Source organism: Homo sapiens, chromosome X, assembly GCF_000001405.40.
Source record: "Homo sapiens chromosome X, GRCh38.p14 Primary Assembly".
NCBI lineage: Eukaryota > Metazoa > Chordata > Mammalia > Primates > Hominidae > Homo > Homo sapiens.
The window spans coordinates 143,622,085-143,639,008 of NC_000023.11; the positions used below are offsets into that span (position 1 = coordinate 143,622,085).

At 40.2% G+C, this 16,924-nt stretch overlaps 1 protein-coding gene across 6 annotated transcripts; it reads right to left on the minus strand.

Annotated features, from left to right (window-relative positions):
• Positions 706-14,017, minus strand: SLITRK4 (SLIT and NTRK like family member 4). 6 transcript variants are annotated; one of them, XR_007068180.1, is made up of 2 exons: positions 2,527-9,087; positions 706-2,413 (listed from the first exon to the last, which is right to left on the minus strand). XR_007068180.1 is itself a non-coding variant. In NM_001184749.3 (2 exons), the coding sequence occupies exon 2, from the start codon at positions 9,022-9,024 to the stop codon at positions 6,511-6,513; it is 2,514 nt and encodes an 837-aa protein (NP_001171678.1). In that variant the 5' UTR covers positions 9,025-9,074; positions 13,651-14,017; the 3' UTR covers positions 706-6,510. The 6 variants fall into 6 exon arrangements, 5 of the variants coding, with proteins under 5 accessions (NP_001171678.1, NP_775101.1, NP_001171679.1 ...); NM_001184749.3 differs by adding an exon at positions 13,651-14,017 and having other exon boundaries at positions 706-9,074; NM_173078.5 differs by adding an exon at positions 12,795-13,007 and having other exon boundaries at positions 706-9,074.

Consider the following 16,924-nt stretch of genomic DNA (forward strand, 5'->3'; position numbering starts at 1 on the left):
TGCTCTTTAGTCATAATTTTCAACCAACTTTTCCTTCTTTAAGGGGAAAAAAACATACCTGTTCCAATAATTTCTAATTAAATCCTCATCCTGGGATTATTTTGGATTTAAATGCTCCTGCACAGTTCTCTGAATAACGTTTGTGAAAGGTAGTAGCAGCACTGATTTGCACCTGGGCTGGTTGCCTGAAAATTGTACACAGCACTATACATTTATTAAGCATATAATTTGGAGATGATAGTGATGAAAAATGTTAACAAAGAAAATCAAAATAAAATCTCAAGACAACAAATAACTGAAACCCAGAGAAGTCTTGGGAGATAAGCTGGGCATAATTTCTACTATATATGACAAAGTGGTCAGGTTTTAATTTCAAGTGTAGGCGAAAAAAAAAAAAAGGACAATTAATATTTAGGTCCCAATCTACTTGGATTTGAAACATCTAGGTGGTCAAGTAGGTAGTCAAGATAGAAATATTTTGTTTACATTAACTAGATAATTCCCTTTGTGTATAATTCACTATTTGCACACATTACTCTCTATCTTTCTTATGTGTATGCATGTGTATGTGTGTAGGTAGACCTGGCCTAGCCATGTAAACTAATATATTGATTGCATCAGCTAAAAACCAGACTATTTGCATTTCTTTTTGAGCTTGAGCTTTACTAATTCCACACTAATAAACACACTGAATGGCTACAAATGTGACCTATAAGAAAAAACTTTTATTTGTGAAAACAGCATTAAAGTGATTCCATATCAACTCCAAAAGTTTACCACAATGGTTCAGTTTACATGAAACAATGATGGAAATATACATAGCAAGTCTTAGCAGGGAGAACAAAGCTTACTATGATTTTCACACACTTCCATGAGCAATATCCACTGCACAACATGCCTTCCTGCAGCTATTAACCAGCAGCGTCTGACATGATCTAGTATTTGTGAGGTGCCAACTAAGAGAAATATATTGTTCAGAAACTTGAAAAGACTATTTCCTTCCTATAGCTAATTTAAAGGCACTGCTCTATGGTTATTCATTATATTATTAATATTATTTCTCTGAAGGCCTCATTCATGACCTTTTTAAGTTAAACAGGTAATTTGTCATTTTTGATGTTATTGAAATCACCAGAATTTCTATTTCTATTTAGGCAGTGTCTACAAAAGTAAACTGAAGTGGAGGGTTGAGTAATTCTCTCCTGGTTCTGGGTCCTACAGTCAGTGGAAATGTCAATTATGGATTAATGAGAAGCTTGAATCTTTATTCTCAATAGCAATTATTTGGTCTAAAATATTCAAATGCCTCAGAGCCCTACTTTATTTTCCCCTTGTAGACATAAGAACAACAGGTTAAAATAATTTTTAAAAATTAAAAAAAACCATCATTTCCTATAAGATAAACAACACAATTTCCCTTCCTCGATTTTCCCTTTTAAAACACAATCCTATCAACCAGTAGAAACTAAAAAGACATTAAATAAATAAATAAATAAATAAATAAAACAAAATAAAATTCCAAATTAGATTAAGGGCAGTTTTGTACAAAGTAAGTTATTAAAATTCATTTGAGTTCCCATTAGCTTTTAAATTAACAAAGAATAGATCCTTAGGAAATCTGAAATTGAGAGTTAACAATTATCAGGTGAACTTGATATATGTCACCAGTTATTCTAGGTAAGTGAAGCCACAAACAGGATATTTTATTTTAGTTCAGCCCATCTGACCACAGTGACTAATGGGATGAGCACTAGAAATGATGCCAAACCTTGATTTGATGCCACTTGTCTACATAACAGAAGTGGCTGGAACCCAAAGCTCTGTGCTCAGTACTCATAAATAAATAAAATAACACAATCCTACGGTGTATCTCCTCAGATGCATAAGGCATTTAGTCTAAAAGTACTTGCATATGCTATCTATACTGTTCACACCTTCAGCATACCTATGTATACGTGTAAAGCAACAACAATCTTAATTTATATTCTCTCTCTCTCTCTGTTTCTGTGTTTACTTTTCTTACCATAAATATATGAACCTTAAACCCACTGTATTGGTCAATATAGTCAGTTACATTCATTTCTGCCCTCAAGTTAACCGTAATGCAATTAGTTCATTTTCCACAACAGTAATAATTTGGGTAAAGTCATGGATTGATAATTTTGGTCATCTTTAAAAGAACCAAATACAAATCACAATTCACTCCATAAGTGGGTAACTAACCTGTAACCAGGCAAACTGGCAATGGAATACAGAGGTACTGAAGGGTTTCTAAAAGTATTTGAGCAGATAGTTAAGACTGAATATTAGTATTTGCTTATCTGAAGTTATGTCAGAATCCAACTGATTCAAAAGAATGGGCAAGAATCAAAGCATGTTGATCTTGGCACTGTCAGACTCTTCTCCAAAGGGGCTGCCAGTGGGAAGGAACACAGATTGAAAATATGTTTCTAAAGAAAGCGTTTTTTTTAACAGAGATTTAGCAGTTAAGTTGAATATAAACAGTAGGCTAAAGCTATATCTTACCCTCAAATCTGGGTGAAATGATCAGTTTGGTTACTGCTTTATATTTTTCTGAAAAATAATGGAAAGACAAATATATTTAACAAACTGTGGCTTCAGAAATATCATTGTAGCAAACAATTTTATTAATACTTTCATAAAAATGGCAATTAATAAATTCTAATACCTTGATGTTATTAAAAGCAAACAAAAGTCATTAAAACAGTTCTTTTCTGTGATTTACATGAGCTTTTACAGCATTACTTGATTTTTCTCTTACAAATTAACCTAAAATACTGATAATCAAATCAGGGTAAAAACAATACAATATTTTTTTTACTTTATTTTAAAATAGTGATTATAAATACATTCTTAATATAGTTTCTCCCCAACTCTTTGGATGCGACAGTAACAACAAAAAAACCTCAGTGTGCTCATTTCATACAATGTCAATGTACAAATCATGCAAAAAATGTTATAGATTAATATTACCACCATACATTTCTAGACGTGTTCTGTTATTTCTGAAATACCTGTTGATGTTACTCATAAGGTCATGCCCTGTATAATTTATGCATCCTTATGGCTTAAAGAAAAGTAAATGTTTAAAAAAAGCAACAAAAGAAAGATGGTCTTAAATAAATTTCTAATTCATATATTTTTTCAGTCTATTCAGAATGAAAAACTAAATATAGAATATAAATTGCCTTATAGACTTGAATCACTCTACTTTAATAGCTGCTTTCTCATAAAATTACACAAAGTCTTACTTTTAAAGAATTGAATCATCTTTATTGATTTCATAAAAAAATAATTTAAAACTTGATTTATATTACATGGACACAATATATTATCTCAACCCCTTCACTGATTTCATAAGATCTAAATTTGTTTGCAATCATTCTAACGTAGTCCATACCCATGACTATAGTGCCAAGAAGCCCATGATGTGTCAGCCCACATTAGAAATGAGCACTTCTTGGATTTTATAGGTTTGCATCCAAGTTCCACTAAAAATGCTGTACTGATGTACATATCATACCTCCAGGGGTTAAACTAACATCAAGGTTATAGTTGAAGCCAACAAAATGTAGATACAGTATTTTAACTGTTCTTGTACTCAACTCAAAACTTATACCTAACTACATTATCATAAAATGTACAACTAGAACTAATGAGAGACAGGTGCAAAATTGTATACACTATATAATGTAGGCACAATGACTTTAGTTAAGGAAAATATATTAGCCTTAACCAAGAATTTGTTACTTTCATTTACAATTTGAACCTCCAAATAACCACATATGTTAAATTACTTTTTAAAAAAAGTTGAACATTTATACCTTTTAGCAGAAGAGTATGAGATAGCCAATATGCTACAGCAAGCTTTTGAGATGGTGGCAGGTACTCTTGCCATTGAGAATTCTGCAGAAACCTTGAAACATCTTCAGAACATCACCACACTGAATAAAAGTATCATTCAAATGACCTATTATCCCCAGACCATGAATGGAACTTTCTGATTCCTCCTATAAGTGTCTATTTAAGATCCTTCAAGCCATACTTTATTGACAGACTAAACTAAAACACTTTCTTTGAAGCCTTTGCATCTTTATCCTGTCAGTATACATTAGGAGCCCTTTAATCCATGGATGTGTGCATGCATGGTAATGGCATATCAAAAGTCCTTATGAAATTGTAGATGAAAAAAGCTGTTGGGCACACATCTTGTCTTTTCTTTCAAGATCAGAAAGCAATTATTTGTTTGAATTATTTTATATTCATATAAAGTTTTCACAGATGTCATAAAAATTAAAATTACACACTAAAGTTTTAAGAGCACCAGCACATACACATGGAGACGGTTTTTGCTATTTAAAAAAGATTTCCAAATTATCTATATGTATGAATATATACCCACATATATATATATACACACACTCAGACACACACACACATACACACACACCCAAGAAAGCCAAGCTTCTTTTTTTTGTCTTGCAACAAACACATAAAGCCCTGAAATTAGTGATTAATAAAGGAACAGCTACTGCAACTATAAACATAGTATCATTTTGGAAGCTGCAACAGAAAAAATATGCCACTTGCAATCATGAGGAATGGCTATGTTTACCTTCTTGGTTATCTTACTGATTCATAAGGTAATTATAAGAGATAGGACACACACTCTCACACATGCACACACACACACTATATATATATGTATACACACACACATACATATATGTATATATATACACACACATATATATACACACGCATATATATATACACACACACATATATATATATGTATATCTATATATATCTATATATCTATATATATATATGCAGGCAGGCCAAGAAGACAATGTGTTTCTGAATATCACTTTGTTAATCGGGAGCTCCTACAAAAGTTCCGACATCACCCATTATCAGTTACTTTATTCCTTTAACAAATTTTGACTTAGATCTTAGCAAAAGCAAACACAGGGGCATATCATTTGTAGTTGCAGACTGTGAACTCATCTGAAACCAATGCAAGCATTTTTACAGTGTGGCTTTCATAGCCAAGATTACCATGATGTTTACAGTTCTACTAGATTATCTGATAGTAGTCTGAATGATGAAAGAACAGGATACTGATGCATACAAGATATAACTATTAACCTTATTCATTATTTTTTAAATACTTGTAGCGAAAACTATTTGAATTAAGCTCATAGAATCCTGAAAAGCAAGACAACCGATGGCAAATAACAACTGCCCCAGACACAATACTAGAAAACTAAGGAACTTATTTTTGAATGCACAATTGGTAACAAATCTGAAGATAATACGCTAAATTCACAAGAATAGCACAGAATTGACTGTTCTTTTGTATTTTTTTCTTTTCTGTTTGTTTTAAATTTTTTTTGTTTTTAAGTTACACCTGATCACAAAGTCCAGAATATTTCTGTTCACACCAGCTTGTTTCAGTTTAGTATATTTCTTTCTGTCTACATTTATACTTACTGATAAATTCACTGTGATCAGGAAAACAAGTCAGGCATATTAAATACATATTAAGGAGTACATATTTTCCTATTTAGTATACAAAGTACTTCATAAATATGAATTATGTTACAAAAATAGCTTTGGGTGCGCTCACACAGTAAGCACTCTGCTTATTTTGGACAACCTTGAAGGATTGTGGGTGTTTCACGTAACTGAGAACAAACTCTAGTGTTAGTTTAATTTGAGCCATGTTTAATTCTGATAAACGTCACATATTTCTTCAGATCATCACAAATGCTATCTAACTCACGTTGATTTTTTCTTTTAGATTTTTATGTATAGACAGGTAATGCTTAAAGTGTTCAAATTTATTTTATAGTTATGTAATGTATGTTATATTTTAAACAAGTATTTGCACAAATTAACATTATAAATCCAGCGGTTTCAAGATGCAGGCCATAAAGGTTACCAATTTACAAATACTATCGAGTGTTCTCTCTTTGCATGCTTTTTTTTTTTTTTTTTTTTTTTTTTTTTTTTTTTTACTTTTCAGATAATCTTTACACGGAGTTGTTACAATGCCACAAATCAAAAGGATTATTCCAGTTCCACCAACTTAATCTACGTGCAAGATAAAGGACCCAGCTGGTACAGGTGTACCAGTTTTCTTGAGTTTGCTTTACAAAGCACAAAGAGACGAAGGTTTTGCATTGGGGTACAAAACAGATTTGCCTCTTGAGGTTAAATTCAGTATTATGTGTATAAAGCATCCCTTTGGCAATAGAGTTTGCAGTATCCCCACAGGACTCCACAGTATAGGTTTTATGTAGTAAAATCTATTAAACAAATTCTCTTCTACTTGACACATCTTTGCAGCTACAGTTAATGAGACACCCTTGGAAACACCTGCCTCCATGCCTATTGATAATATAGTATTTGGAAGTTAGAAGTCAACAAAAGGCACTTTCATCATTAAATAAATGTCCTCTGTATGAAGTAAGATTACATGACCTAGATCTTGTTCAAAGCTGTTTGCTCCTCAAGGACCTGTAGGTAGTCAGGGGAACTCTGCAGTTTCGCCTTCAGTTCAAAATACTCACTCTTCCTTTGTTCCACAACAATTTTACTGTGGTTGCCACCTATCAGTGACTTCTTACTTTTTTTGTCTGGTTGTTTTTCTGGATAGCGGATCTCAAAGCCACTGACACCTATGCTATTATACTCCTTTTTGCTTTCAAGAAAATTCTGAATAAACACATTGGAATCCCTGCTAGGGAATAATTCATCCAGCTCATCAATTGTGCTCAGTCTCTTCCTGGTATCTACATGTAATAAATCTTTCTCCTTGTCGGCCACATTTCTCATAACAACTTTCTGTCCTGGAGGATCTGAAAACATGAACCCAGTTTCTGACTCTTTCAAGCCACAAGTGTGGCTCTTGCTCATCTGTTCTATAGTTTGTGGAATGAAAGCTTCTGTGCTCAGTCCATCTTTTTTATTGGTTTTGTGGTCATGCTTCCTTAGCTGCAGCTGCATGGAGCCACAGTCAGGATTCCCCAGGCCTTCGTGCTTCACTGTGGGTTTCTTGTTGCGTCGCAGGACAAAAACAAGAAGGCAAAAAGCAACAAACACCGTTAAAATGAGGACCACTAAGATACTTAAGATTAAAATAGACAGAGGCACTGGCCCACCAGGAGGACTTCGAATGGGACCCAAAGGAGTGGTGAATGTAATGGCAGGTGCAGGGCTTGTGAATGGTGCAGACGGCTTATTTAAAAGTTTGGGACATAAGATTTCATTTTTGAGGGACTTCAGTTCAATGTTGGCAAACTGAACAGGCGTCTCACATTTCAGTTCTTTCACAACAATCCCGTCGCTCAACTTCTCCACCCACAGCTTTAATGCCACCAAGTCACAAGTACAGTCCCATGGGTTGCCCTCCAAGTCAATCTGTGTAAGAGATTGCAACTGATCAAGGACCCCGCTGACAGGCAGGTACATGAATTTGTTGTTCCTCAGGTTCAGTCTAGCTAAGGGTGCTCCGGAAAAGATGTAAACAGGCAGGCTCTTTAGGAGATTATTGTTTAAGTACAGTAACTGCAAATTTGGCATGGAGTCAAAGGTGCCTGCTGAGATTTCCTTAATCAAATTGTATTCCAAATACAGATACTGCAGGTTATGAAGACCTGAAAATATTTCAGGATAGAGTCTCTCAATTTGATTGCCATTGAGATATAGCCTGCGTAAATTAGTGAGATTGTGAAATACGTCTCCCTTAATCACTGTAATTTGATTGCTGCCTAAATGAAGCAAATCCAGTCCTTCAAAGTCAGTGAAGTCTGATACGTCCACATCCTTGATGCTATTGCCATTGACGTGCAGCTTCTTCGCATTTAAAGGTTTCGGTATCAGTTCAGACATAGACTGTATATTTTTCTCTTGGCAGTTCACACTTAGTCCCAAATCTGAAGGGTGTGTTTTGCAGAAGCAAGGTGCCGGGCAAGGTGTTAGAGGAGGCACCCTTGTTTGGTAAGACACAATCTGACTGAGATTGCGGTTGGAGAGGGCTTTGCCTGCAACGATTCCAGAGATCTTGGAAGGATTTGTTGTTTTTGGTGGTTTAGTTACTAATCTGTGTAAAGATGTTTGGGTAGTGTGACCATTGGGAGTGGTGTAGCCATTTTCCAGCTGAGATGGAGGCAGGATGCGCACGTCAAAATCACTGCCGGTGCCCATGGGACATAGCTCTTGTTTGTTGGTTTCTTTTAAAAGCCTTCCATATAAGTCACTGGGAGTTTCACAGATAGCTTCTCCTATGTAAATGTTATATGGCATGTTCTCCAGCCAAGCTTTTAAGGGCAATAAATCACAGCTACAGTTCCAAGGGTTATCTTCCAGTTGCAATTCAACGACACGGCCAATGTGTTCCAGAACCCCGATATAAGGGAGCTTCTGGATTCTGTTCCCTCGTATATCCAGATGGGTCAAAGATGCGAATCGGAAAATATTATCAGGAAGGAATGAAATCAGATTGTCATTAAGAATGAGAACTTTCAGTTTGTGGAGCTTATTGAAGGCTCCTCGTTCAATATACTTGATTAAATTGTAGTCAGCCTGGAGATACTCCAAGTTCTCTATGCCAAGGAAAGTGTCAGCTCGGAGAATCTTTAATTCATTGTTGTTCAAGTGCAACTGCTTTAATGCACTGAGCCCAAGAAAGGCTCCTCCCTCAATGTTCTGCAGTTTATTATTCCCCAGATGCAGGGAGACTGCATGTGAAAAATTCAAGAATGTATTTGGATACAGAATATTTAAAAAATTATTTTGGAAATTGAGGTGATAAAAATTAGACCAAGGTGGTTTCAGCTGATTTGGTCTGTAGACTGAAACCTTCTCACAGTTGACATAGAGCACATTCTCAACTGACACGCAGGAACACACATTGCAAATTTCCACCGATATGTCAGAATCTGCATTTGTCGAAGAAATCAGGGCTGACAAAATCAGAAACAGCCACAGAAACATCTTCTTGCAATCAGCAAACAACTGTATGCTTCTGAATAAAGAGAAATAATCTAAAAAATAAAAAGAAAACATTTTTTCAATGGTCATTACTTGAAAAATTACTTGTATGTAAATCATACCATAGTGAACACATGGCTATAATTACCAGAGTTGTATTTGTAAGGCAATCAAACCTCCAAATAGTCTCACTCAGTCGAACAATAATAACCACTAAAACTGCCATACATTTTATTTTCCATACCTGTGGTTTATACCAAATTCACATGTGCAGAACACACAACTAACAGTAGGAAAATATATTATCAATCATGCTTAAATCTTGCAATCTGAAAATATTTTTTCCACGTGGACCGTCAAACTCTGCCCTTGAACACAGGCCTTAAGCTTCCTACTTGCACTTCAAATGACCGAGACCATCAAGTATGCCATCGAGTTTGTACCACAAAGCCATTTTGATTAGTGGATATCTATTCTCTAAGCTTCAGCTAGATAGAGAGGCTGAATTAAAAAAACAAAAACAAAAACATTAGAGCCCAGAGTTCACTGGAGGATGGAAATGGGAGGATTGGGCTGCTGTAGCAGGGACTGTTAAAAGACTAAGGAACAGTGACCTGGGAAGAGATTTGCTTGTGCTGTAGCCCCATAGGTAAGTTCATTGCTGTCAATCGGTTTACTCCTGTACACTGCTGCCTTCAAAGACACAGACGACGCTGTGCGGTTCTAGAAAAACAACTGAGTAAGGGATGGCCAAATTTTATTTTCTGGTAAATAAACAGTCTCTAATTTCCTGTCAGTCATCTCCCAAAGAGGGAGCAAAAAGCCTTTTGTCTTGGAGCCTCTGAAAGCAGCAGAGTAACCTGCTTACTCCTGCATTGCTTAGCTAATCTCCAGGCAGTCTTTCCACTTTGAGAACTGGCTCTCTTGCCTCCCTGGCCCTCTCCCACATCTTTATTTACCATTTTGAACCCAGGTCCGACTGATCCTCGGCTTAACTGCTTTATCTCTTTCACTTTGACCACAGACTGCAACTGCTGAGGAAGGGGAGTTCACACAACACAATCTTTGAGTAGCTTTTGCTACAGCACCAAATATGTTCAGTACAGCACATTTTTCGTCCTAAAATCATCAGTTCCAAACACCCACCCGCCCTTCCTAATATTACCACCCCATGTCCCTGACTGTAAACGCATAAAGAATCACTTGTTGGTAGAGTTTAATGCTTAGCAAAATAACTCATCGTTTTCAGGTCCTTAAATACTGCATATATACACAAACATACACGATGCTTCCTGGAAAAGATTAAACAACACAAGCAGAGTGCATTTTATTGATACTATTTTAGCAATATTAGTCTTTTCCATTGTGAATGGGAAGCTGGGTGCAATTTCAATATCGTTATCTCCAAATATTAATTAAATACATAAAATACCCAGGAACACACAACAAGGAAATGATGCAAAGAAAGAAGTGTCGCACAGAAACTCCTTTGTTTATTTTACCCACGAGGAATCAGCTAGTGGTAAAACCGAACATGTCTCAAGGTAGACAACCCATTAGCCATGACCCAGGAGGATTTGCATTTTAAGTAGTTTGGTTCAGAATACAGCCAGCACTGCTGAGATGCTATTTGGCTGCCATATAGACGTGCATTTCCCCTATTCACCATGAGAGCATGATTGGCATTGCAAAAAGAAGTCATAATTCTTAACTATGACATCACCTAAAGCAACTTTCATTGTAAAATCAAAATTTCACTTGATATTTTTTGCCTTGTTATGAATGTGGTTTTCAACAGCTATTTTGGTTCAGTTGAGTCATTTCTTGTTACTAAACCACCACCCCACCCACCTCAAAACAAAGAAACCCAAAAGCAACCAAACTAAAAACCAAACGCAGAAAAAAAAAAATCCTTATAATCCGAATTCAGTACAAAAACAAGAACCAGGAATCTCAACACATCTGAAAATGCATAAGGAGCTGCCCTCCTCCTGGTGATTGCTACTTTAAGTAGCAAGGGGGGGAAAAGGCACTAGTAAGAGCCAGGAAGTTCCCAAATGCAGCTCTTGTGAAACAGAGGAAGCCACAAGCAGCTGGAGGGGCAGGCAAGAGAGAGAAAGAGTCCAGTTGGTCCACCAAGGAGAGAGGAAAAGAGGTACTGAAAGGGCAAGAGACCATGGAAATGTGGAGAAAGGAAGAAAAAGAACTCGGAGAAGGGAGCTACAAAGAGGGTAAAGGGAGCACTGAATGTATGCGAATAAAGCCTCACACTCCGGTGGTACCACTGAAACATGCACATTTAAACATCAAGGGAAAAACGCAAAAAAGAAAAGAAAAAGCCCACAAAGTACCAGCTGGGTACCAAGAGCCTTCTCTGTGGCTGCTGGGAGCTGTCCGTCTTCCTCTCGGTGCCCTGAAAGACCCTTGGCTCTCACGACCAGCCAGGACTGAACAAACCTAGCCCGACCAAAAACAAATCCTGCATCCACCGGAGTGCAGCGCCTGGCACTCCGCGACTGGGAGGAGAGAAGCGGCCTGAGGGGGGCAGAACACTGATGGGCTTCAGGGCGGTGGGCCGAGGTGGCTCCCCGAGAGCTCCCTCGGGAAACCCCGCTGGCCCGCCTAAGGCTCGGATGGAGGTGGAAGAGGTTCGCGGAGAGACCCGGCCATTGCCGCCCGGGTGCGCTACCTCGGGCGGGCGGCGAGGAGGCTGGAGGGGCTGCTAGCGCGTACCGCAATGTTTTGCCGCATCCCTGTTCCCGGAGCCGGCCGCTCAGCCCCCTCCGCGTCAGGGGCCCAAGCAGCAGCCTGGCGGTCCGTGTAGCGGAGGCGGGGTACCGCGCGGGATGTCGCGGGGGCCTTCAGTCCCGCCGCTCACACATTTCTCCGCGCGCTCCCGTCCCACAAGGGGCAGCTGCCGGAGTTTCAGTGGACCTCTCTAGACCCAGGCGTGCGGTGGGTGAGGAGGAAGAGAGGCCAGATCAGGCCGCCTCGAAGACGTTGGCACTAGGGAGTCACTGACCTGCTTGCCACGGGCAGAGTGACCCTGTGGTTTTGTGGCTGCGAGCGGCGGCCCAGGCTCCCCCTTGCCTGTTCTCCCTCCCTGGCCAGCTACAAAAATCCTGCTCTCACCATGCCAGAAATCAGCTCAACATTTAGGCCCCTTGCAAAGTCGCGCTGGCAGCGCTCGCCTGGCTTTGCAGAGCTTTTAGAGTTACCCACCGGCTCTTCCTCTGGTATTCCTAGTCTTGCCGAGCGCTAGCAATCTCCGACCAACCCGCGGGCCACTGCCCCGAGCCTCAGATCCACGTCTGCGGAAAGTGGCTGCGAGTGGGGTGCAAAAATAAAGCCCAACCCAGCCCAGCGGCCCGACAGCCGGAGCCACCCGAGACCTGTACAACTTGCCCCGCCGCCCTGGCCGCTTGGGGTATGGTGGGGGGGGGGGCGGGCAGCGATGCCAAGGACACCCGGATCCTTTCCGGTCCTCAGCGGCATGAGACCGCGTCGTAGGCAGGCAAGTGGGAGGTGGAGGGCAGGATTAGCCACCTCGGCCACTTTGGCCACTCAACCGGCCCCAAACCAACAGGACCCAAACTAAAAATAATAAGCTACCTGCCCCCTCGGCTCGCGTGCGCGCGCGCGAGATCTCTCTCTCTCTCTCTGTCTCTCTCTCACACACACACACGCACGCACACGCGCTACTGAGCTGAGCGGGGAAGAGGCAGCACGCGTGTCGGTGCAGCTTGTGCAGCCCCCGCTGAAAATTCACCCACCTCTAGAGCCCAGCGTCTGGTGCAGGGCCCGCGGCGCCGTGACCTGCGCTGCTGTTTCCACGATGGTATCTATGTGATTCCGGACAGAGCTCCTCCGCGCCCGCTCGCCCGTCAAACCCACGGAGCAGCCCCAGCAGGCGAGCAGGCGGGCCGGCGGGCAGGCGGGCAGCGGCGCGCGCGCGCACCCGAGCAGACACCGCGCGCGCACCCAGCGCCTAGCACACGGGCTGCACCTTTACATACACGCGCTGAATCCCCGCCCCCGCTCTCCACCACCCCCCCCCACCCCGCACACAAGCAGTCCTTCCTCCCGACACTCGACCACTTTGACCCCCTCACATTCCTGAGCTCCTACCCCCGTCCCCCATCCAGACATGCCCATTTGATTCCTCTTCTACCCACACACCCAGAAAGACAGCGCGCTTTCCTCCCGGCATCCGCCCCCTCTTTTTGCCTAAAACATTCCCTAGGGAGGAGCGACCCCTTTCCTCAGGCGTGGAGACCCCAGTCCTCTAACAAGGGCGCACTCGCCTCCATCCCCCCCACCACATACACACACACTCGAGCCCTTTTCTTCTCTTCCAGTCCCCTAATAACGAAGGAACACACACACACACACACACACACACACACACACACACACACACACACGGGGCATTCCTTTGAGAGAGCAACCAAGAAGCCAGGAAAAGCCAAAGAAACACTGGAGAGCCTGGGGGAGGGGGGCCGAGGGAGATCGATAGGGTCGTCGAGTCTACGCGGAATTGAATAATTACAGGATGGAGGGGAATGAGTCAACAACAATGACATTCAAATGCAACAATCATACTTGGATTTTGTATCACGGGTACGGTACCTTTGGCTAATTGTCACCCCGCAGAACGGAGGGCTCCTGGAATACTTCTCCGTGGCGGTCGATCCTGGAAGGAGCCTTCTTGGGAACCAATTTCCTAGGATCCAGTAGTATTCGCACTCCCCCTACCTGTCTGCGCGTAAGGGGCCAGGGGCTTTAAGGCGAAAGTGTGAGGCTTTAGCCTAAAGTGAGACTATTTAGCCGGGTTAGAAGGAGACGGGTTAATTATCCGCACCTTAGAACTCCGTGGGCCTTTGGTGCAGAATGGGTTAAGCCGGATGATCTTGGAGCTGGGGGTGGGGATAGGGGATAGGGGATAGGGGTTGAGGAAAGAGAGGCGTGGGACTGGGAGAGATGCCGCACTTGCGACCAAAAGAAAAAAAAAAAAAAAAACTACTTTGGCTACTGAGCATGCCCAGTTCCCAGCTCAAGCCCTATAAGGGAGGCATTGTGTGCATTCCACTTCTCCGGGCTTTGGTGGTGACCGGGAGGGGAGTTTGACTGGGGAAGGGGGTGGTAGTTGGGAGACATTAGGGAAAGGGGGTTGGAGAACAAGGTTTGAAGCTTTGGGACTGCTCAGGAGGGACTGTGAAGAGAGAAAGGGAAGGGACCCACGGAGTACCTTCGGGAGACGGGGAGAAGGAGAGGAAATGGACTAAGAAAAGTCACTTCAGTCGCCCCTCATTGTGTATACCAAAGAGGCTTTAGCAGCTGAATCTGAAATATCCAGTGGCTGCAAATCCAACGTGTGGATTGTCTAGGCCCCTTCTTCTACCCTTTTTGTTAGTGCTTCCACAAGAGATAAGAAATATTCTGAGGAAGGGCCAATGTTCAAACCAGTTTCATGCAAATTGATAATTTCGTTAATAAGCTTGTTAAGAAAATAAATAAACCTGGGGGAGGGGAGCAGAGAGGAGTTGGCTATCATGTATGTATTTCAGATACCTGGCTTTCCTAAACAAAAGGCATAAACATTGGATGTGCTCCCATCCCCCAACCTTGCTGTTTTTTGTAGGAGCTTGGCTAAGAAAAACAACTCTCTCTCTCTTCGTGTCTGTGGGAATAAACTAGCTTTAGGTAAGTAGAGCTAAGTTATAAATGGGAAGTATTTCCCTAGGACTCTTGGTAGCCTATTATTTGCCACATTCAGGTAATACTGCCAGGCCCATTTCTTCAGGACCAGTGTGTTGCCCAATTTACTTATTCAAATCCCAGCGGCTCTAGCCACAATAGAGCACAACCGGTATCCAGAAATGTTCTTGCTTAAAAATGAAAAAAAAAATCTTTAAGCTAAAACTAGCAACAGCTTTGAAACCAGAATTTGGCTGTCTGCCTGAACTCCTACAGTTAAACATTTACCATAATTGGTTGATGTTTAAAGGCCCCAAATCTAGGTAGAAACATCTGATGGGCAAAGGATTTATTACATTATTTGTGAATAATGGTCTACCTTCTGTATCATCTATAGTAGTCATTCATATACATGTTTCATTGTTTTTCATTTTTTGTCATTTTATGGGACTTCCGTCAGGTTATATTCACACAAATGTTCACCGGGCACAACATGTATACAGAGATGCACGTACAATATGTAAATGAATACTTAAATAGATATGCGTGTATGGGCATATTTCTTTATGACCTTGCTAAATATTGTGTCGTTCATGAAGAACTCTTTCTCTACCTTCACTCCACATTGCCTTGAAAACTGTAATCATCCTCTCTTTTACAAACAACCTAGAGACAGAAATTGGGCAGCATTGGTAAAATTTATCTTATTCAATGTGAAATCCATTATGAAATAGCATTAAGGAAACACTAAAATATTTGTCTATAACAGCGTATGTAATTGTGCAGCTCCTTTTAGCAAAGTGAATGATGTTTCCTTCATAGGTAACAGCTGCAGAATGTTGAAAAATCCCTCTACTCTTGCACACTTGGACAAAACAGATCCTGCTAATTAATAACTCACATTTGCATTTTATTGTGTAATGCAGTTTGAAAGTAGTAATGGGTATCAAAACAAGTTGGCATTTATTCTAAATGCTAACAATTCAGGAAGCTGAATATATTTTATCCAGATAGGTGAAATGTTTGTCTTTTACTACAAATGTTAACAAGAGTCAATAGAATGAGCAAAAAAAGTTTACCTGAAAATTCTAAGTAATGTGATAACTGAAAAGGCCAGATTTGGACAGTAAATATCAGATGATTTAAATGCCTATCTTTATTCAACTTTAGAAACTGTTCTGAGACTTGGCTATATTTAACTGCAATAACTGTGAAATGTTATTTTTCATATGGATATGGAGACAAATCTGAAAGCCACTGTAGCTAGATCATCGATAAATTACAATTCATAATATTCCTAAGAACTTATCTGTGATTAATATTCAACTTTTTTAAATGAATGCTTTAAAATAAAATGTTTTGCTACTTAAAAAGATAAAGTGGACACTCATAAAATAAAACAGAAGTAACAACTTCCATGTTTTATGCTTATTTTGCTTTCAAAGTAATTAACCCAATCCTTTAGTCCCACAGTCCCTTTTCCGTCCCCTAGAACTACAGGTGACATCCCAATAGAACAGTAGGAAATGACACAGAATTGCTAGCTTAACAAAGGAAGTGAATATATACATAAATAAAAGTGTTAAGAAAACTCCAGCACTATTTATGGCCATTGAAAGAAAAACAAAATTGATGTTCTTCCTAAAATGTAAGCATGCAAATATTGTGAGTTTTGCAATACTCTCACGGTCTTCCTCCAAATGTTTTACCTTATTTCATCTTGACTTTTTAGGAGTACAACCAGAATCGTAGGTCTACACTGATATACTGTGTCTCCCTCCATCAGGGAAAAAAACAACTGCACTAAGAATTTCAACAAGATCCTGTATACCCTCCGTTCCGAAGGCAGTTTGGAATTAAGTCATTAAAACACTACCAACCGAAAGTGATTATAATGCCAAGTCTTGGCCCTAGTCAGCGGTCTTTCACTTTCACTGTATTCCTCATTTATCTTGCCTTGTCTTAGGCTGCTGCTCAAAATCAAATCAGCCTTAATTTTCGTATCCAGGTATCACAGATGATTCAGTGTATTTTAATATTGAAGATTTATTTATATTCTGGCATTTTAACAGTTACAAACTTGCTATTTCTCTTTCATTTTTATTTATTTATTTTTGAGACAGAGTCTCACTCTGTCACCCAGGCTGGAGTGCGTTAGTGTGATCTCGGCTCACTGCAACCTCTGCCTCCTGGGTTCAAGCAATTC